The sequence below is a fragment of the Homo sapiens genome, chromosome 7, assembly GCF_000001405.40.
Source record: "Homo sapiens chromosome 7, GRCh38.p14 Primary Assembly".
NCBI classification, from domain to species: Eukaryota; Metazoa; Chordata; class Mammalia; order Primates; family Hominidae; genus Homo; species Homo sapiens.
In genome coordinates this window covers 102,900,376-102,921,387 of record NC_000007.14, presented here as the reverse complement: position 1 = coordinate 102,921,387, position 21,012 = coordinate 102,900,376, and the positions used below count along the sequence as shown (strand labels likewise).

General features: G+C 38.9%; 2 protein-coding genes across 25 annotated transcripts in view, besides 1 other annotated feature; one reads left to right on the top strand and one right to left on the bottom strand.

The window, feature by feature from the left end:
• The window catches only part of LRRC17 (leucine rich repeat containing 17), a 32,112-nt gene extending 23,724 nt beyond the window's left edge, over nt 1–8,388 (bottom strand). For 3 of the 4 annotated variants that reach the window (XM_005250108.2, NM_005824.3, NM_001031692.3), the window contains exon 1: nt 8,243–8,388. The gene's annotated coding sequence lies outside the window, so the exon portion shown is untranslated. Of the gene's footprint in view, nt 1–7,993 lie in introns of all 4 variants that reach the window. The other variant, XM_047419717.1, reaches the window with a different exon arrangement.
• Nucleotides 1–21,012, top strand: part of FBXL13 (F-box and leucine rich repeat protein 13) — a 263,608-nt gene that overhangs the window by 153,409 nt on the left and 89,187 nt on the right. For all 21 annotated transcript variants that reach the window (NR_105043.2, XR_927410.4, XM_017011850.3 and 18 more), the window contains one exon: nt 8,173–8,302. Coding sequence is in view for 19 of the 21 variants with exons in the window: in XM_017011850.3 (XP_016867339.1) it covers nt 8,173–8,302 (130 nt within the window). In the remaining 2 variants the exon portion in view is untranslated. The remainder of the gene's footprint in view (nt 1–8,172; nt 8,303–21,012) is intronic.
• Nucleotides 20,221–20,722: an enhancer, noted in NCBI's record as "NANOG hESC enhancer chr7:102541113-102541614 (GRCh37/hg19 assembly coordinates)". NCBI's record gives its function as "activates a minimal SCP1, AML or CMV promoter by ChIP-STARR-seq in naive H9 embryonic stem cells {active_cell/tissue: H9 hESC(naive)}" and the evidence as "EXISTENCE:reporter gene assay evidence [ECO:0000049][PMID:30033119]".

Sequence of the window (21,012 nt, the reverse complement as noted above, 5' to 3'; positions counted from 1 at the left end):
TATAGAGAACAAAATTTCTGTGTGTATATACATATAAATTCTTGATACATCATTATAATAGTGATATATTAGTTGCCTATTATGATCAAGCTTCTCTTTATTTTGATGTTATTTTACAACCTTATTAACAAAGGTTAGTAAGCATCATGTTTCATTACAGATTATAGCATTTATTCACATAAAATGATATTCTTTATGCTGGTTGATGTTTCTTTGCCTTGAATTCGCTTTGTTTTGAGACGGAGTCTCGCCCTGTTGCCCAGGCTGGAGTGCAATGAAGTGATCTCGGCTCACTGCAACCTCCGCCTCCTGGGCTGAAAGGATTCTCCTGCCTCAGCCTCCCGAGTAGCTGGGATTACAGGTGCCCGCCACCACGCCAGGCTAATATTTGTATTTTTAGTAGCGACAGGGTTTCATCATGTTGGCCAGGCCGGTCTCGAACTCCTGACCTCGTGATCCGCCCACCTCGGCCTCCCAAAGTGCTGGGATTACAGGTATGAGCCAACACGCCCAGCCTGAAGTTTTTAACTGTTATCAACATAGTTAACCTTTGTTTTCTTTTGCTTGTTCTTTTTGTGGAATAACTACATTTCTCTGTATTTTTAACCTTTGTGATGCGGGATTTTAGGTTTATCTTTTATATGTAGCATGTAGCTAACTTCTATTTTTAAATTCATTCTCTTTGCCTTTTTAAGAGAGCAGTTTAAAAGATCAATATTTATTGTCAAAATTGAGTGTATGGGCCATGCGTGGTGGCTTGCTGTAACCCAGCAGTTTGGGAGGCTGAAGTGGGCGGACTACTTGAGCCCAGGAGTTTGAGACCAGCCTGGGCAACATGGTAAAACTCCATCTCTACAAAAAAATACAAAAATTAGTTGGGTGTGGTGGCATGCACCTGTAGTCCCAGCTACTCAGGAGGCTGAGGTGGGAGGATCATTTGAGCACAGAGGTTGAGGCTGCAGTGAGTCATGATTGTGCTGTGACAGAGTAAGACCCTGTCTCAAGAAAAAAAAAACTGAGTGTATGGTTTTATTTTTATCATCTTGTTTTATGTTTTGATTTTTATGTTACTGCACTGTACTCAGTATTTCTGTCTTTTGCTCTGTGAACTATGTTTACTTGTATAATCTGAAGGTATTCGAAAGGTACATACACATTCTGTTGTGTATTCTAATTAGTGGCTATTGGCATGTTTTTAAAAACATACTTTAACAGGCATTTATCTAATTACCAAAGTCAAGATGAAACAATAACTTTTGACTACTCCTGTGGTACACAGTGATCTAATACACTTCAATTGTCCCTCTACTTCTCCCTTGAACTTGACACCCCTGCACACCTACTCCCCTGTATGAACACACATATTATTTGTGGGTTTTGCTAATCATTTAACTTTCTTTTTAATATCGAATTGTAGTGTTTGCACTCAATATTGTAATTATATTTATAATGAGTATGTAGTCTTAACTCTAGGCCATTCATTGATGGTCTTTTTTTCTCACAGCTTACTTATTCTTTAGCCTTTTGATTCATCTGATGATAACTGGAAATATAATTTTAAAAATCTTTTTTCAGTAAAGATGCATGAGAGTCAGATAGTTTAGCCATTGATCTCTGAAAATGACTATTATCTTGGAGGATAAACAGAAACTTCTCTTCATGTATAGTTCTTGAATCATGTTCTGTATTTTATCTTTAAAACCCTAATGTTTTAGATATTGGTCCATAAACTTTGATATTTCAGGTTATAGAAAGTCTGAAGCTAGCATGATTTTTTGTTCCTTTGTTGGTAACCTATTTTTTCCTGCTAAGAGATGCTTGCAAGACTTTCCTTTTCTCTGAGAAATTAAAGACATTTCCAAGCTTAATTGTGTTCCTTCAATTAATTTTTCCTGGTACATTTTAAACCTTTTGAACACTAAAATATATTTTTTCTCAGCTAGGGAAGGCATTTTTATTCTTAATGCTTCAATGCATTTGTTTAGAGTTTATCATAAGAATCTCCTTTTATTTTTAGATCCGATTTTATTCCTGTCCTTCAAAGTTGTCTCTTTCATCATTTTTATTTCTATATGCCTTTTCATTAGCATACTGCCTTCTCTGTAGCAGTAATTCTTGGAATATATTTTAGGAACAGCAGTGTTCTGGTAAATGCTTAACAACTGGCTGGTGGCAAGGGTGAGGAGAAGCACCAATTCCTAGTGTTTACTGATTTCTGTGGTGTAAATAATTCCACTGTGGCCGATTTTAAGCTATCAACACAATGTCATTGAATGTGGAGTTGGGAAGAGATGCTAACAATCAACTCCCATGAGCTGTGCAAGCTGGCTCCAGTGACCACTGTGGGAGGTCCCTGAGGTTTCTCTAACACTGTTTCAGGAATTACTTAAGATCCTCCAGTCCTGTAATATTGAATACCACTCAGTTCTTTCTTTAGGCATTCTGTACTATGATATATAAGTGTGTGTGTATATGTGTGTATGTGTATATATATGAATATATGTACATGTATGTATGTACATAAACATAGAAAAAGAGTATTATAAAATCCATAAATCATTGGTGAAAATCTGAACTTACAAAGTAGATGATTTGGGAGCCATTTTTTTGTTTTGTTTTGTTTATAGACAGGGCCTTGCTCTTTCACCCAGGCTACACCCAGCTACATAGTGTGATGATAGCTCACTGCAGCCTCAAACTCCTGGGCACATCCAGCTAAATTTGAAAAATCTTTTGTAGAGACAAGATCTCACTATGTTCCCCAGGCTGGTCTCAAACTCATGGCCTCAGGCAATCCTCTTGCTTCAGCTTCCCAAAGTGCTGGGGTTATAGGCATGATCCACTCTGTGTGACCCAGGGTGTAGTTTATATCACATTACAAATTATTTTTTAACTTAAAACATATTTATTTTCAATCATACATTGAAATGGCTTTTTTTCTCCTTAGAAATTGAAGGTAATATGACAGCTATGCATATCTTCTTAGGGACATTTATTTTACAAATGAAGTTATACCTTTAGTAGGCAATAGATAGAAAAGTAGGACCCAAAATAAGAATTTTGTTTGGCTCTTCCTTCTAGTTCTTGCCATTGAGAGAATATTCAGAATAGATACTACTTGATACTGATTTTTTTGCCATATAAAAAAGTATACTAAGTTATCTATGATAAAAATACATTTCATAATGATTCTCTGTTTTTGCTCTATTTTCCATTGTTTCAAATATGCTTGGGTATGCAAAAATGTTCTCGAAACTGTAAATAAGCAGAGAAATGTTGGTTGTTTCTGCTGTCATTCTCTCTTCATTGCTTTTAGTATTTCTTTCCAAAAAAAGTACTTGCCAAGAGAAAAATGTAATTTGTTTGTCCTTGGCAACAATGATTTGCCAGCTTTTTATTTGAATATTTTTTCTCACTTCTTTGGGGACTTGTTCAGTTTTCTAAAGTTGAAAATGAGGGCTGCCTAAAGCTCATGCCCATTCCAGGAAATTTGTTGCCTCTAAATGTTTCCGGAACTAAACACTTTCTATTTATTCCTATTGTCACAACCTAGGTGGCACTCTCAGCACCTCATTTGGCACAGTATCCTGGTGGTGCTGCCTCTGGTCTCTCCTCCCTTCAATCTGTTCTATCTCACGCTACAAGAAGTGTCATCCTGGAACAATCTTCCTATCATGTCTTTGACATGCTTAAGGTCTAGGTTCTTCCCTTACTCTTCGTTGACATTCTCCAACCAAACTTCTCTGCCTAGGTTTCCCAAGAGAAGCCCTTAACTCCAGTCATCTGATTGCTGCATGCTTCACATTCTCTATAGCTGCAGTGCCTTTCTCCTTCTCATGGCTAATCTACAGCCTTCACACCTTAAGTCTCGCCATCTACCAGAAGTCTGCAGTGATTTTTCCTTTTCCTGAATTATAATAACAACCTTCTTTCACTTGTTCACCATGTATTGATCAACTAGTATGTGCAAGGTGTTCTGGGCATACAGTGCTGAGTAAAGCTATTATGATCTTTGCTCTTTAATTGAGTCTTAAATGCTATAGTGGAGTAGTATCCAATTGTTTTTTATATAGATGAATTGACCTTTCAATTGGCTTGGAAATTTCTTATTATCAGGAACTATCATGATCTATAGTCTCACCAGTGCCTATCAAAGTGGGGCAGACAAAGTAAGCTGTTGTCTTGACTGGACAACTTCAAGGTCTACCCTGTAAATAGAAGGCCAGATCACTCCATTTAGGTTTTCTGCAGAATTCTATTACTTGAAATGCCTCTGTGAAACCAGAGAGCCCAACACTCAACTCAAAAGAATCCACATGCAAATTCCCTCTTTTACAGAGTAGGCCTTGTCTTGGTGATTTTTTTCAGAGAATTTTTTATTTAAATACATACTTTTCCATTCATCTTAGTAGTAAGTCCTTCAGGTGTTAGAAATTTAACACAAATGACTTCAATTCTTTAATGGAAAAAAACCCAAAAGAAAGGAGAAAAAAAAATCTTTGTAGTTTCTATAAGAATTGTAATTTCTCTAAAGATTATAGTGGTAGCAGAAAAATAAATAAATAAATCACAAAGAGAGGACTCACACCCCCCCCCATAAGAAACAGTTATCAAATAATTAGAAAAAGATAAAAACAAGCTGTAAACATTGCCTCAAAGCAGAATTAGAATTACCAAGTGTTCTCTGGGCTGGGAAAATGATGAATCAGATCTTACTCATGTAGGGGACACGCGTCTTTGCCAAAATTCAGAATAAAGAGTATGAGTATTGCACAAAATTTGCCACCTGTGATTTTGCTGTCAACTGACACTTTTCCCGTCCCTAGCAGCTTTAAGTCTGCAGAACTGTAAATCCCTAGAAAGGCCTACAGGGCCACCCAAGATTCCTGAGCTTTGCCTTCAAACTGATGGTTCCATGAGGTTCCACTGTGAAAAGAGCTATCCAGAGATTTTCAATCCAGGAGTCACTTAGTCTAATGAACAGCCTCTTTTATCTAAACCAGAGGTTCTTAGCTGGGGAGCAGTGGATTCCCCCAAGAGGATCAGGGATAGAATTCAGGAGCTCCATGAATTTTAATGGGGGATATAAAAAACTCATCTCGGCTAGTTGCACTGGTTAATGCCTATAATCCCAGCACTTTGGGAGGCCGAGGTGGGCGGATCACCTGAGGTCAAGAGTTTGAGACCAGTCTGGCCAACATGGTAAAACCCTGTCTCTAATAAAAATACAAAAAAAATTAGCCAGGCGTCGTGGTGGGTGCCTGTAATCCCAGCTACTTGGGAAGCTGAGGCAGGAGAATCACTTGAGCCTGGGAGGTGGAGGTTGCAGTGAGCCGAGATCATGCCATTGCACTCCAGCCTGGGTAACAGAGTGAGACTCCGTCTCAAACAAAAAAAAAAAAAGAAGAAACTCATCTCTACTTTTATTAACTGTAATTGAAATGTAGGTAAAAACTACAGAAGTATTAGCAGTCTCTGGGACATTTTTACTCATATAAATCACAAATATATTCTTATCACATTTCAATTGTTATAAGTATTTCAAAATATCACTGATAGTTCACAATCACAGCAGTTATTAGAACTGCCACAAAATCTTACTTAATATGTTAATAAAGAAGCACATATATTACTATTCTACTCATAAATGTTTTTTTATTTGGTAATTATGTATTTCAATATAATTGGCTGTTTTTGTAATCTTATATATTTTATTTTATGCATTTAAAAACTTTATGCCAAGAAAGGGGCCAGAGACCTCAGCTGACTGCCAAAAGCCAAAGGTGTCTGTGACATTAAAAAAAGTTAAGCACTCCTAGCTCAGTTCTCATTTTTGATATTTGTTAACTGATCACATGGATTTAAAGAAATTGAATACTAGGTGTAGATCGAGGTATACATTCAATGTGAAATCCTTCAAACTCTTGGAATTATTGTATGCACCACTCTTGGAGATAAGTATCCATTTCATTAAATGGAAGAATAATACAAAGTCCATAAAAATAGTTAATGTGTTACTATCATTTCACATAGTAGTAGCAATAATATTACATATAGTTTTAAATCTTCTACTATGTCCCTGCCGATTTTGATTGTTAAAATCACCCTCAAGATAATACTGTTACTTCTGTATTCTCATTTAATTGTCACATCTTTAAAGGGAACAAGCAGACCAGATTACATCCATGTTCCAGATGAGAAAACTGAGGTTCAGGAAAGCTGGAGGCCCCACAGTTGATCAGTGTAAAAAAAAAAAAAAAAAAAATATTTTAATCTCCACTTAACAAATGAGAAAACAATCTCTGAGAGATTAGGGAGGTTGCAGTAAGTGTCAGGGCTTGGATTTACATCTCATTTGGCCGGATTCAAAAACCTTGTGTATTTTGCACTGTGTCACGCGGCCTGCCTCACAACTCCTTTCTACAGATTATAAAGCTAAAGGATTGCTAGAAATGACACCCTGGTGTGCCTCTCCCCACCCCAAGAAAATTGTACTCAGTTGAATCACAGGGTGTACCCCAGGGAGAGGAAGATAACGCATTTCCAAAACTTTAGCACAGCTCAGTCCACTCGACAGCCCCAAGAGAGGGGGCGTGTCTTTGGGATATTAGCACTGCTTTCTCCTTCAGGCCCTGCCCACCTAGTCACTGGTGAGTCCAAAGCCTTCCCCCTCGCTCTGTCGAATCTCACGTACACAGCCCTTCCCAGATCGGGATGTGTGTTCTGAATCAAGTAATTCGCTATGGCATGCAAATCATTATATCATATAGATGTGTTTTTCAAAATCTGATTAATGGTCAGTGCTTGTATATCTTATTTCCCATTTATGGGAGGTAAACTTTATTCACCTGTGTGATTTTGAGAGGCAGAGAAGCATTTTCTCCTCACTTTTCATTCTTTTTGCTTTCTAATTTGCTATTAAGCTGTTGCATATCACAAACTAAGAGCATGATTGCTAATTCCATTAGAAGAGCAGATAGTAGTGGGAATCCTTGACCTCTTAAAAAGTGCCAGGCTTTCTGGGCACGGTGGCTCATGCCTGTTCCGAGCACTTTGGGAGGCCAAGGCGGGTGGATCACCTGAGGTCAGGAGTTCGAGGCCAGCCTGGCCAACATGGTGAAACCCTGTCTCTACTAAAAATACAAAAATTAGCTGGACATGTTGGCACGCGCCTGTAATCCCAGCCACTTGGGAGGCTGAGGCAGGAGAATCGCTTGAACCAGGGGTTGGGGGAGTGGGGAGGAGGTTGCAGTGAGCCAAGATCTCACCATTGTACTCCAGCTGGGCAACAAGAGCGAAACTTCGTCTCAAAAAAAAGTTCCAGGCTTTGGAGGGCTTGGGAAATTGTCCACGGAGTGTCCTCAAACTGCGAGCCCTCGTATGGTAGTACAGGCTCATCCTAACTACCCTACTTTTTTCTGGAAGCTGTCATTTTGGTCATTGTGGTAATACCATATTTAATCTGTTTCAACTCCAGCGAGATTTATAGTCTCTGATGTTGCTTTTGATTCTTCTCATGTGTTGCCTGCTTATTTGCAAACTGGTCTTCTTAATCCATGCTTAAACTCTGCATATCAATTAGTCTTTCTTTAACTATAATAATGAAACTGTCACAAACTCATGCATATTTAAACCTATTTTTTAAACTCATTTGCTTATCAGATCTATTTTAAGAGCATGGTCATATTCAGTTTTGCCTTCTGTCCCAAATCCTCACTCTCCTGTAACAGTCTCCATTTAAATGTTTACAAAGGATTTGTCCTTTTATATATTTTGCACATTATTTTGGTACTCCAGAGATAAAACCTAAAAGCAACAATACACTCTGCAAATTTGGTTTCACTTCCAAACAATATGATTGCCTCCCCCACCTCACACACACCAAAAAAGCTTTATCCCAGTCAACTTTCTTAAATATCTAGGCAAATATTATTGAACTATTAATACTTTCACTTGAAATGTATTACAAGGTATTAAATGTATTGTGTGTTACCTTATATAACACTGTAGTCTCCTTTAATTAACAGGTAGAGAGTTAACAGTAAAGTTAAATGTTGAACATCTGCAAGAAGAAGAGTTGAATTTACAGTTTTCTTTGTCATAGTGGCTTAAGAAAGATTTGAGAGAACAACGGAAGTATAATACTTTCCTTCCTCTCTTTTGTCTTTTCAGGCACTTCCACAACTTACAGAATCTTAGTTTGGCTTATTGCAGACGGTTCACAGACAAAGGCTTACAGTACCTGAACTTGGGGAATGGATGCCACAAGCTCATCTATCTGGACCTCTCTGGCTGCACCCAGGTTTGTCTTTCAGTCTTCTCTTTGCTGCGGTGTGTGAGGAAGTTCTCCAGAGAATGGGCTGCATTCAGCCCTCACGTTATACTAATGCTGTGCACGGACCGCAGCACACTTTTCAGAGGTTTTAAATTACATGGCCCCAGCTGCTGAAATTTTCCCCAGGATCGCTATTATAGGCTCTTGGCTTCCTTCCACTGGAGTGTCACACAGACAAACAGGCAGAGCTCATTGGATGAGGAAACGGACCACTTTTGTGGAGACAGTCTGAGCACAAGTCTAAAGCAGAGTCCAAGTCCTGAAAACTCTGGAGTTGCTACCAAGACACAAACAAAGAGAATGTTTTGAGGGAGAATTTTGCATGGGATTCCTGAAAAGTCAATTAACTCCCACATGGGTTTTTTTTTGGGGGGGGGGGGGTAAAATGCTATAAGTGATAAATAGGAAAAGAAAATACAACAAAAACTCATAATTTAAAAAATTGCATTACACCGTTGGGCTGAATAACATGAAGATTTGAGATCTGCGTGGGAAAATATTTTAAGTTTGAGGGAACAGGACTTGGAAAGTTGGGCAGAAAATTGGATCAAGTTGCAGAGGATAGGGCATGGCGCTTTGGATGTAGCTACTGCCTCATTGATAGTTTCTTCTGCTTTAATTTCAAAAGATTTAAGCCATAATTCTTTTAACTTATTTTCTTCTGCCTCTCTGTGTATTTTATTAATTTGGTGTCATAGTATGTTCATTATTCTATGAGAATAATAGCATAGGTGAGAACTGGCTGAAATATTGATAGTTATCATTTCTTGAGTCATTACCATATGCCAAGCATTGTGTTGAGTGCTATACACAGATCAGATTTACTTCTGATACAGTGCTGTGGTGGTATGTATTTACTATGCTTATTTACAAATGAAGAGACCAAGGCTCAGGGTGGTTGAATAAGTTGCCCAAGTTTGCACAGCTGATGAAAGCACATGGTACTAGTACAGTTTTAAGCATCTGTTGCTAGATACTGGGGCAGGCAGAGTTCCCTGGGATAGTGGGAAATACAGGGGCAGCATGGGTTTCTCCCCCAGGGTTCTTGAATGGATAGAATTCTTACCTAGTCACCTCCACTGACATCTTGTGGTATCCTGATGCCCTGGGTGGTCTGGAGGGAGTTGGGGCAAGGAGGGGAGGATTCTAAGTTAGGGCTGTAAACATCTAACATTCATATTTGTTTAAAACTGATCTGCTGATGTGTAGCTTTTTAAACATCAACATCTACCATAACTTTATGACTGAGATGGCATTGACGTTCTCCTCAGCATGACTGAATTTTAGACCAGCTTCTTACTGACTCTAGGCCCTGACTTCTTGTTTTCTTGTTTCTTAGAGCATTTGTTTTAGAAAACTTGGAATTATAAGTTCTTTCTCTGCCTACTTTGAGATGTCTTTTTAACAAAAGCTTCTTGACAGTTTTACAACTCAGGAAAGTCTTCCTCAAGGACCTGGGATCTATCCCTTTGATATATAATCATCAAAGAAGATATCTCTCAGTTCCTGTGGGTGGGTAGAAGCCTAACTTTGATGGGCACCAATTAGCAAATGCCAATGGCCCAATCACAGAGAAAAATATTTGCAAACTCAGGAACAACTTAATGTGCTTGACATATCCCACTGATAAGCCTGCCCCTTAACTATAAATCCTTCAGTACTTTTCTAACTCGCCGTTGTGCTTAAACCCTCCTCATGGTATGACTTACCTCCTTCTTCTTATCAATTTCTCAGTTACCATGAGGCAATTATTGTAGCAACAACACACAAATGTATACACAAGTGTCCTAAGGATAAATATTCTCAGACACAGTAAAGTTGAAATGAGAGGCTTCAAATCTATGACCTACTGCCCAGATATGCATACAAAACACACATAATTGGAGGAGGTGAAGCAAGATGGTGGAACAGAAGGCTCCACCCATTGTTCCCCACCCAAGGACACCAAGTTAACAACTATCTACAGAGAAAAAACACCTTTGTATGCTTTTAGGCTGGGCGCGGTGGCTCATGCCTGTAGTCCTGGCATTTTGGGAGGCTGAGGCAGAAGGATTACTTGAGGCCAGGAGTTCAAGACCAGCCTAGGCAACATGGTGGGACCCACGTCTCTACCAGAAATGCAAAAAATTGGCCAGGCATGGTGGTGCATGCCTCTGGTCCCAGCTGCCTGGGAGGCTGAGGTGGGAGGATTGACTGAGTTTGGGAGATTGAGGCTGCAGCGAGCTGTGATCCCACCACTGCGTTCCAGCCTGGGAGACAGAGTGAGACCTTGCCTCAAATAATTAAGTAAATTTGTTAATGCTTTTCTCTTGCACGCCTGTATTTTGTTAGGAGTGTTGGCTGTCACCCTTATGGGTGAAAAAAGGTATCATACCTTTCTGCCCCATGGTACTAACAGGACAGAGACCTCAGGTGTCTAATAGCTGCTTGGTGGTGGTAAGGGGTAAGAGGAGCAGTGCATGGGGATTCACGTGGTGTCTAAGAAGGTGGCATCCAGCAGGGCATAGGCTATTTACAGTTGAGAGCCCGTGACAAACTGGAAAACAGAGATTGGAGCCCGAGCCACGCTGAAGCACACACCAGGCTGAGAGCTTTTCCCAGGCATCGCATACAGCACTCCATGTGAATAAAGACCCCCTCCCCCCAACACACAAAGAAAAAAAAAAGAAAGAAAAAGAAAAAACACCTTCATAAGAACCAAAAATCAGATGAGCAGTCATCGTACCTGGTTTTAACTTCATATGACTGAAAGAGTCATTGAAGAGATAGAAACAATAGTCCTGAATCGCCAGTGCCACCCCTCCAACATGGTGCAGAGAGCCTCTCTGGGTGCTGGGGAAGGGAAAATACACCAATTGTGAGGCATTGAACTTAGTGCTGTCCTGTTGGATCAGAGAGGAAAACTGGACCAAACTCAGCTGATGCCCACCCACGGAGGGAGCATTTAACCCAGGCCTAGACACAGGGGAATTGCCAGTCCCAGCAGTCAGAACTTGAGTTCTACAAACCTCACCACTGAGGGCTACAGTGCGCTGTGCCTCCAGGTAAACTTGAAAGGCAGTCTAGGCCATAAGGACTGTAACCCTTAGGCAAATCCTAGTGCTCAACTAGGCACAGAGACAGTGGACTGAGGGGTACATGACATACTGAGACACCAGCTGGAGCAGCCAAGGGAGTACTGGCATTGCCCCTCAACCAGCCCCAAGCCTCACAGCTCATCGATCCAAAAGAGACCCCTTCCTTTCCCTTGAGGAGAGGAGAAGGACGAGTAGGGAGGACTTTGTCTTGCATCTTGGATACCAGCTCAGCCACGGCAGGATAGGGCACCAGTTAGAGTCATAAGGCCCTCGTTCCAGGTTCTAGCTCCCAAGTTACATTTCTAGACACACTCTGGGCCAGAAGGGAACCTGCTGCCTTGAAGGAAGGGACCCAGTCCTGGCAACATTCATCACCTGTTAACTGAAGAGCCCTTGGGCCCTGAATAACTAGCAGCAATACCCAGCTACTACATTGAGGGCCTTGGGTGAGCCTCTGTGACTTGCAGGCTTCAGGTGAGACTCAGCATATTACCAGCTAGGGTAGCTATGGGGCAAAACTCTTGCTTGCGAGGGAAAAGCAGTGGGGACAGTCTTACACCTTAGATACCAGCACGGCCACAGGAGGGTAGAGCACCGAGGCAGGTTCTTGGGGTCCGCGATTCCAGGACTTGACTCTTGTATGGCAATTCTGGACCTGCCTTGGGCCAGAGGGGAACCCACTGCCCTGAAGGATGAGTCCCAGGTGAGGCAGCATTCACCACAAGCTGACTTAAAAGCCCTTGGGCCATAAGAGAACATCATTGGTAGCCTGGCAATACTACTCATGGCCTGGGGTGGCGGTGGCTACAGGGTAAGGTTCCTCTGCCTTTGGAAAGGGGCAGAAGAGTGGGAAGGACTGCATCCTATAGTTTGCATGCCAGCTCAGCCGCAGTGCAATAGAACACCAAGTAGACTTCTAAGGTTTTTGACTCTAATCCCTGATTCCCAGAGGGCACCTAAGGACTCACCTGGGGTCTGGGGGACCTCACCACCCTGAAGAGGAGGACACAGGCCTGGCTGGCCTTGCCACCTGCTGATTGTAGAGCCCCAGGGCCTTGAGTGAACAATGGCAGTAGCCAGGAAGTGGTTACAGCAGGCCTTGGGCAAGACCCAGTGCTGTGATAGCTACAGGTCTGACCCAGTGCAATCATAGTGGTGGAGGCCACAGGGGTGCTTGTTTCACTCTACCACCAGTTTTGGGTGGTTCAGAACAGAGAGACTCTGTTTGGGAAACAGAAGGGAAGAGAACAAGAGCCTCTGCCTGGTAATCCAAAGAATTCTTCCAGATCTTGTCCCAGACCAACAGGGTGGTACCTTGACAAGTGTGCGAGAACCACAGCATTACTGGGCTTGGGGTGCCCCCTAAAGCAGATACAGCTTAGATTACAACACTCAAGTCCTTTCAAATATCTGGAAGGCCTTCCCAAGAAGGATGGCTACAAATAAGCCCAGGCAGTGAAGACTACAATAAATACCTAACTCTTCAATGCCCAGACACCGAAGAATACTGGCATCAATACCATCCAGGAAAACATGACCTTACCAAATGAACTAAATAAGGCACCAAGGGGCAATCCTGGAGAAACAGAGATATGTAATCTTTCAGACAGAGAATTCAAAATAGCTATGTTGAGGAAATTCAAATTAATTCAAGATAACACAGAGAAGAAATTCAGAATTCTATCAGATAAATTTAACAAAGAGATTGAAATAATTAAAAAGAAACAAATTCTGGAGCTGAAAAATGCAATTGGTATATTGAAGAATGCATCAGAGTCCTTTAATAGCAGAACTGATCAAACAGAAGAATTAGTGAGCTTAAAGACTGTTTGAAAATATGCAGTCAGAGGAGACAAAATAAAAAAGAATGAGTCTTTATAGCAGCATGATTTATAATCATTTGGGTATATACCCAGTAATGGGATGGCTGGGTCAAATGGTTTTTCTAGTTCTAGATCCTTCAGGAATCGCCACACTGTCTTCCACAATGGTTGAACTAGTTTACAGTCCCACCGACAATGTAAAAGTGTTCCTATTCCTCCACATCCTCTCCAGCACCTATTATTTCCTGACTTTTTAATGATCATCATTCTAACTGGTGTGAGACGGTATCACATTGTGGTTTTGATTTGTATTTCTCTGATGGCCAGTGATGATGAGCATTTTTTTATGTGTCTGTTGGCTGCATAAATGTCTTGTTTATTGCGGCACCCTTCACAATAGCAAAGACTTGGAACCAACCCAAATGTCCATCAATGATAGACTGGATTAAGAAAATGTGGCACATATACACCATGGAATACTATGCAGCCATAAAAAGGGATGAGTTCATGTCCTTTGTAGGGACATGGATGAAGCTGGGAACCATCATTCTCAGCAAACTATCGCAAGGACAGAAAACCAAACATCGCATGTTCTCCCTCATAGGTGGGAGTTGAACAGTAAGAACACTTGGACACAGGGTGGGGAACATCACACACCGGGGCCTGTTGTGGGGGGGCGGGAATGGGGGAGAGATAGCATTAGGAGATATACCTAATGTAAATGATGAGTTAATGGGTGCAGCACACCAACATGGCACATGTATACATATGTAACAAACCTGCACATGGTGCACATGTACCCTAGAACTTAAAGTATAATAATAAAAAAAAAGAATGAAAAACAATGAAGCACACCTACGGGATCTAGAAAATAATTTCAAAAGGGCAAATCTAAGAATTGTTGGCCTTAAGGAGGAGGTAGACAAAGAGATAGAAGTAGAAAGTTTTTTCAAAGGGAAATAACACAGCCTGGCCAACATGGTGAAACCCTGTCTTTACTAAAAATATAAAAATTAGCCAGACGTGGTGGTGGGTGCCTGTAATCCCAGCTACTCAGGAAGCAGAGGCAAGAGAATTGTTTGAACCCGGGAGGTGGAGGTTGCAGTGAGCCAAGTTTGTGCCACTGCACTCCAGCCTGGGCAACAGAGCGAGACTCAGTCTCAAAAAACCAAAAAAAACAAAAACAAACAAACAAAAAAAACCCAATCAAACAAACAAACAAAAACCAAAGGGATAATACCAGAGAACCTCCAGAAACCTAGAGAAAGATGTAAATATCCAAGTACAAGAAGGTTATAGAACATCAAGCAGATCTAACCCAAAGAAGACTACTTCAAGGCATTTAATAATCAAGCTCCCAAAGGTCAAGGACAAAGAGAGGATCCTAAAGGCACCAAGAGAAAAGAAACAAATAACATACAATGGAGCTCCAATACATTTGGCAGCAAACTTTTCAGTGTAAACCTTACATGCTAGAAGAGAATGACATGCCATTTTTAAAATGCTGAAGGAAAAAAACTTTTACCCTAGAATAGTATGTCTGGTAAAAATATCCTTCAAACATGAGGGAGAAATAAATACTTTCCTAGACAAAAGCTGAGGGACTTCATCAACTGTCCTGTCCTACAAGAAATGCTAAAGGGAGTACTTCAATCGGAAAGAAAAGCAAGCAATAAATAATCACCTGAAGTTGCAAAACTCACCAGTAATAGTAAGTACACAGAAAAGCACAGAATTTTATAACACAATAACTGTGGTGTGTAAACTACTCTTATCCTAAGTAGGAAGACTAAATGATGAACCAATTAAAAATAACTACAACAACTTTTCAAGACATAATCAGTACAATGAGATATAAATAGAAGCATCAAAAAGTTAAAAAGTGGGGCAGGGGGACAAAGTTAAAGCATAGTGATATGGTTTGGCTGTGTCCCTGCCCAAATCTCATCTTGAATTCCCATGTGTTGTGGGAGGTAATTGAATCATGGGGGCAGGTCTTTCCCATGCTGTTCTCATGATAGTGAATAAGTCTCACAAGATCTGATGGTTTTATCAGGGGCTTCCGCTTTTGCATCTTTCTCGTTTTTTTCTTGCTGCCGCCATATAAGAAGTGCCTTTTGCCTCCCGCCATGATTCTGAGGCCTCCCCAGCCATGTGGAACTGTAAGTCCAATTAAACCTCTTTTTCTTCCCAGTCTCAGGTACGTCTTTATGAGCAGCATGAAAACGGACTAATACACATAGAATTTTTATTAGTTTTTGTATGTTTATTTGTTTGTTTATGCAAACAGTGTTGTTATCAGGTTAAAACAATGGGTTTATAGGTTAGTATTTGCAAGCCTTATGGTAACTTCAAGCCAAAAATCATACAGTAGATACACAAAAAACTAAAAAGCAAGAAATTAAATAATATCACCAGAGAAAATTGCCTTCAGTTGAAGAAGACAGGAAGGAAAGAAAGAAGAAAAAGACCACAAAACAACCAGAAGACAGATAACAAAATAGCAGGAATAAGTAGGTCCTTACTTATCAATAATAATATTGAATGTAAATGGACTAAACTCTCCAATGAAAAGATATAGAATGGCTGAATGGATGAAAAAACAAGATACATTGATCTCTTGCCTACAAGAAACAGACTTCATCTATAAAGACACACATGGACTGAAAATAAAAGAATGGAGAAAGATATTCCATGCCAATGAAAACCAAAAAAGAATGGGAGTCACTATACTTATATCAGACAAAATAGGTTTTAAGACCAAAACTATAAGAACAGACAAAGAAGGTCACTATGTAATGATAAAGAAGCCAATTCAGCAAGAAGATATAACAATTTTAAATATATATGCACCCAACACTGGAGCACCCAGATATGTAAAGCAAATATTATTAGTGCTGGAGAGAGATGGACCCCAATACAATAGTAGCTGGAAACTTCAACACCCCACTTTCAGCATTGGACAGATCTTCCAGACAGAAAAGCAACAAAGACACATCAGACTTAATCTGCACTATAGACAAAATGGATCTGATAGATATTTACAGAACACTTCATCCAAGAGCTGCAGAATACACATTCTTTTCCTCAGGACATGGATCATTCTCAAGGATAGATCATATGTTAGTTCACAAAACAAATCTTAAAACATTCAAAAAAACTGAAATAATATCAAGCATCCTCTCTGACTACAATGGAATAAAACTAGAAATTAATAGCAAGTAGAATTTTGGAAACGATACAAATATGTGGAAGTTAAACAATATGCTCCTGAATGACCAGTGGGCCAATGAAGAAATTAAGAAGGAAATTGAAAAATTTCTTGAAACAAATGATAATGGAAACACAACATACCAAAACCTATGGGATACAGCAAAAGCAATACTCAGGGAAGTTTATAGCTATAAGTGCCTACATCAAAAAAGAGGAAAAACTATAAATAAACAATCTGATGATGCATCTTAAAGAACTAGAGAAGCAAGAGCAAACCAAACCCAAAATTATTAGAAGAAAAGAAATAAAGATCAGAGGAGAAGTAAATGAAACTGAAATGAAAAAACCAATACAAAAAGATCAATGAAATGACAACAAAAAAAGATCAATGAAACAAAAAGTGGGTTTTTGAAAAGTTAAACAAAGTTGACAAATGTTTAGCAAGATTAAGAAAAAAAATAACACCAACATGGCACATGCATACATATGTAACAAACCTGCACGTTGTGCACATGTACCCTAGAAATTAAAGTATAAAAAAAAAGAAAAAGAATAAAAGAGAGAAGATCCAAATAAATAAAATCAGAATGAAAACTGAGACATTACAACTGTTACTGCAGAATTCAAAGGATCATTAGTGGCTGCTATGATCAGCTATATGCTAACAAATTTGAAAATCTGGAAGAAAGGGACAAATTCCTAGACACATACAAGCTACCAAGATTAAACAGGGAAGAAATCCAAAATCTGAACAGACCAATAATAAGTAATGATATTGAAGCTGTAATAAAAAGTCTCCCAGTAAAGAAAAGCTTGGGACCTGATGGTTTCACTGCTGAATTCTACCAAACATTTAAAGAAGAACTAATACCAATCCTACTCAAACTATTCTGAAAAGTAGAGGAAGAAAGAGTACTTCCAAACTAATTCTATGAGGCCAGTATTACCCTGATGCCAAAACCAGACAAAGATACAGCAAAAAAAAAAAAAAAAAAAAAAAGAAAAGAAAAGAAAACTACAGGCCAATATCTCTGATGAATATTGATGCAAAAATCCTCAAAAAACTACTAGCAAACTGAATTCAACAATACATTAGAAAGATCATTCAACATGACCAAGTGGGATTTATCCCTGGGATGCAAGGATGGTTCAACATATGCAAATAAATCAATGTGACACATAGCATCAACAGAATGAAGGATAAAAACCATATAATCATTTCAGTTGATGCTGGAAAGCATTTGATCAAATTCAACATCTCAACGTAGCATTATGGAGCAGGAGAGAAAAAAAATTAAAAAAAATTCAATATCCCTTCATAAGAAAAACCCTCAAAAAACTAGGGATAGAAGAAACATACCTCAACATAATAAAAACAATGTATGACAGGCCCACAGCTAGTATCATACTGAATAGGGAAAAACTGAAAGCCTTTCTTCTTAAGATCTGGAACATGATAAGGATGTCCACTGTCACTACTGTTATTCAACATAGTACTGAAAGTCCTAGCTAGAGCAATCAGACAAGAGAAAGATATAAAGAGCATCCAAATTGAAAAGGAAGAAGTCAAATTATCCTTGTTTGCAGATGATACGATCTTATATTTGGAAAAACCTAAGGTCTACACAAGAAAACTATTAGAACTGATAAATTCAGTAAAGTCACAGGATAAAAAATTGACCTACGAAAATTAGTAGCATTTCTATATGCCAACAGTGAACAATATGAAAAAGAAATAAAAATGTAAACCCACTTACAACAACCATACATTAAGTTAAATAACTAGGAATTAACCAAAAAAGTAAAAGAGGTCTATAATGAAAACTATGAAACACTGATGAATAAATTAAAGAGGACACCAAAAATTGGAAAAACATTCTGTGTTCATGGATTGGAAGAATTGATATTGTTAAAATGTCCATACTACCCAAAGCAATCTACAGATTCAATGAAATCCCTATCAAAATACCAGTGACATTCTTCACAGAAATAGAAAAAAAAAATCCTAAAATTTATATGGAACGACTAAAGACCCAGAATAGCCAAAGCTATCCTAAGCAAAAAGAACAAAACTAGAAGAATCACATTACCTAACTTCAAATTAGCAGAAGTAAAGTAACCAAAACAACATGGCACTGACATAAAAGCAGACACATAGACCAATAGAACAGAATAGAGAACCCAGAAACAAATCTATACACCGACAGTGGACTCATTTTCAGCAAAGGTGCCAAGGACACACACTGAGGAAAAGACAGTCTCTTCAATAAGTGGTGCTGGGAAAACTGGATATCCATATGGAGAAGAATAACACTATATACATAATGTATGCAAAAATCAAATCAAAATGGATTAAATATTTAAATCTAAGACCTCAAACTTTGAAACTACTACAAGAGAACATTGGAGAAAATCTCCAGGACATTGATCTGGGCAAAGATTTCTTGAGCAATACCCCACAAGTACAGGCAACCAAAGCAAACATGGACAAATGAGATCACATGAAGTCGAAAAGCTTCTGCACAGCAAAGGATACAATCAACAAAGTGAAGAGACAACCCACAGAATGGGAGAAAATATTTGCAAACTACCCATCTGACAAGGAATTAAAAAACAAAATATATAAGGAGCTCAAACAACTTTATAGGAAAAATTCTAATAGTTCTATCAAAAAATGGGCAAATGATGCAATAGACATTTCTCAAAGAAAACATACAAATGGCAAACAGGCATATGAAAAGGTGCTCAACATTATTGATCATCAGAGAAATGCAAATCAAAACTACAATGAGATATCATCTTACCCCCGTTAAAATGGCTTTTCTCCAAAAGTTAAGTAATAACAAATGCTGGTGAGGATGTGGAGAAAAGAGAACCATAGTACACTGCTGGTGGGAATGTAAATTAGTACAACCACTATGGAGAACAGTTTGGAGGTTCCTCAAAAAACTAAAAATTGAGCTATCATATGATACAGCAATTCCACTGCTGGGTATATACCCAAAAGAAAGGAAATCAGTATATCAAAGAGAAATCTGCACTCCTATGTCTGTTGCAGCACTGTTCACAACAGCTAAGACTTGCAAGCAACCTAAGTGTCTATCAGCAGATGACTGGAAAAAGAAAATGTGGTACATATAGACAATGCAGTACTATTCAGCCATAAAAAAGCATGAGATCCAGTCATTTGCAACAACAGGGATGGAACTGGAGATCATTATGTCAGGCACAGAAAGAAAAACATCCCCCATCACTTATTTGTGAGATGTATTTAAAAAAATTGCATATTCTCACTTATTTGTGGGATCTAATAAAAATCAAAACAATTGAACTCATGGGCATAGAGAGTAGAAGGATGATTACCAGAGGCTGGGAAGGATAATGGGGCTTTGAGGTTGAGGTGGAAATGGTTAATGGGTTATAAAAAAAATAGAAAGAATAAGATATACTATTTGATAGCATAACAAGGTAACTATAGTCAATAATACTTAATTGTACATTTTAAAAGAACTTGAGTGTAATTGGGTTGTTTGTAACTCAAAGTATAAATGCTTAAGGGGATGGATACCACAGTCTCCATAGTGTGCTTATTTCACATTGCATGCCTGTATCAAAACATTTCATGTAACCCATAAATATATACACCTACTATGTACCCACAAAAATTAAAAATAAAATAAATACTGCAAAACACACATAATCTGTCTTTAAATTTCAAGCCAATATGTAAAATTTTGGAGTTTTCACAAAACATTCTAGATTTCAAGCTTCTCTTTAAAAATGGGAAGAACTAGCAGAATTGGACCTGCATTTCCATATGGCCACAATGGGCTGGAGCTAAGTCAGCCTCCCTCCCTCGAGATGGACCACTGTTTGCCAACCTCTCCTCCACTCAGTAAGGTCAGCACAAGCATTCACACCTGGACTGCTACCACTTAATCGCATTGCCTGCCTGGCCTCAGTAAGTATTTGAGTTTCTAAATGTGTAAAGAATTGAATTCCTTTCCTAATCACTTCTTAATTTGTAAGCCTCAAAACACAATGAAGTTAGTATTTCACATCATTATGCAAAACAATGTTAGTTTCTTTCATTCATCCCTTTTTCATTTCCATCTGTTCATTTAATAATTCAGTAGTATTTACCTCTAAGTGTCAGGCACTGTTTCAGGCACTAGAAATTGTGGAGTTTGAAATTGAGCCCCTTTAGGCCCAGTGAGAGTAAGAAATGGGTTCGTCGTGAAGCACAGATATCTTAGTAATTGCTGCTGCTGTAGCTTCATGAAGAACCGGTGAAGTTTGAATGTTACTGCTTCTGAGTGACTTATTAAGTCTTTTGAGGAGGCTCTATCTACCTCTTCAGCTCTGGGTGTAGTACAAAAATAGCTTCATAGAAGGAAAATTGACAATTCATAGATGTTTAAGGTTTTCACCTCGAAGAGGTTCTCTCTTGGAAACTAGAATCTATTTTCTTTTTATAAATTTGGAATGTTGTATTAGGAAGTTATATGTTAATATATGTGACCAAGAAAAAAGGTCTCAATAAAACAAAAAGCCTTGAGAATAG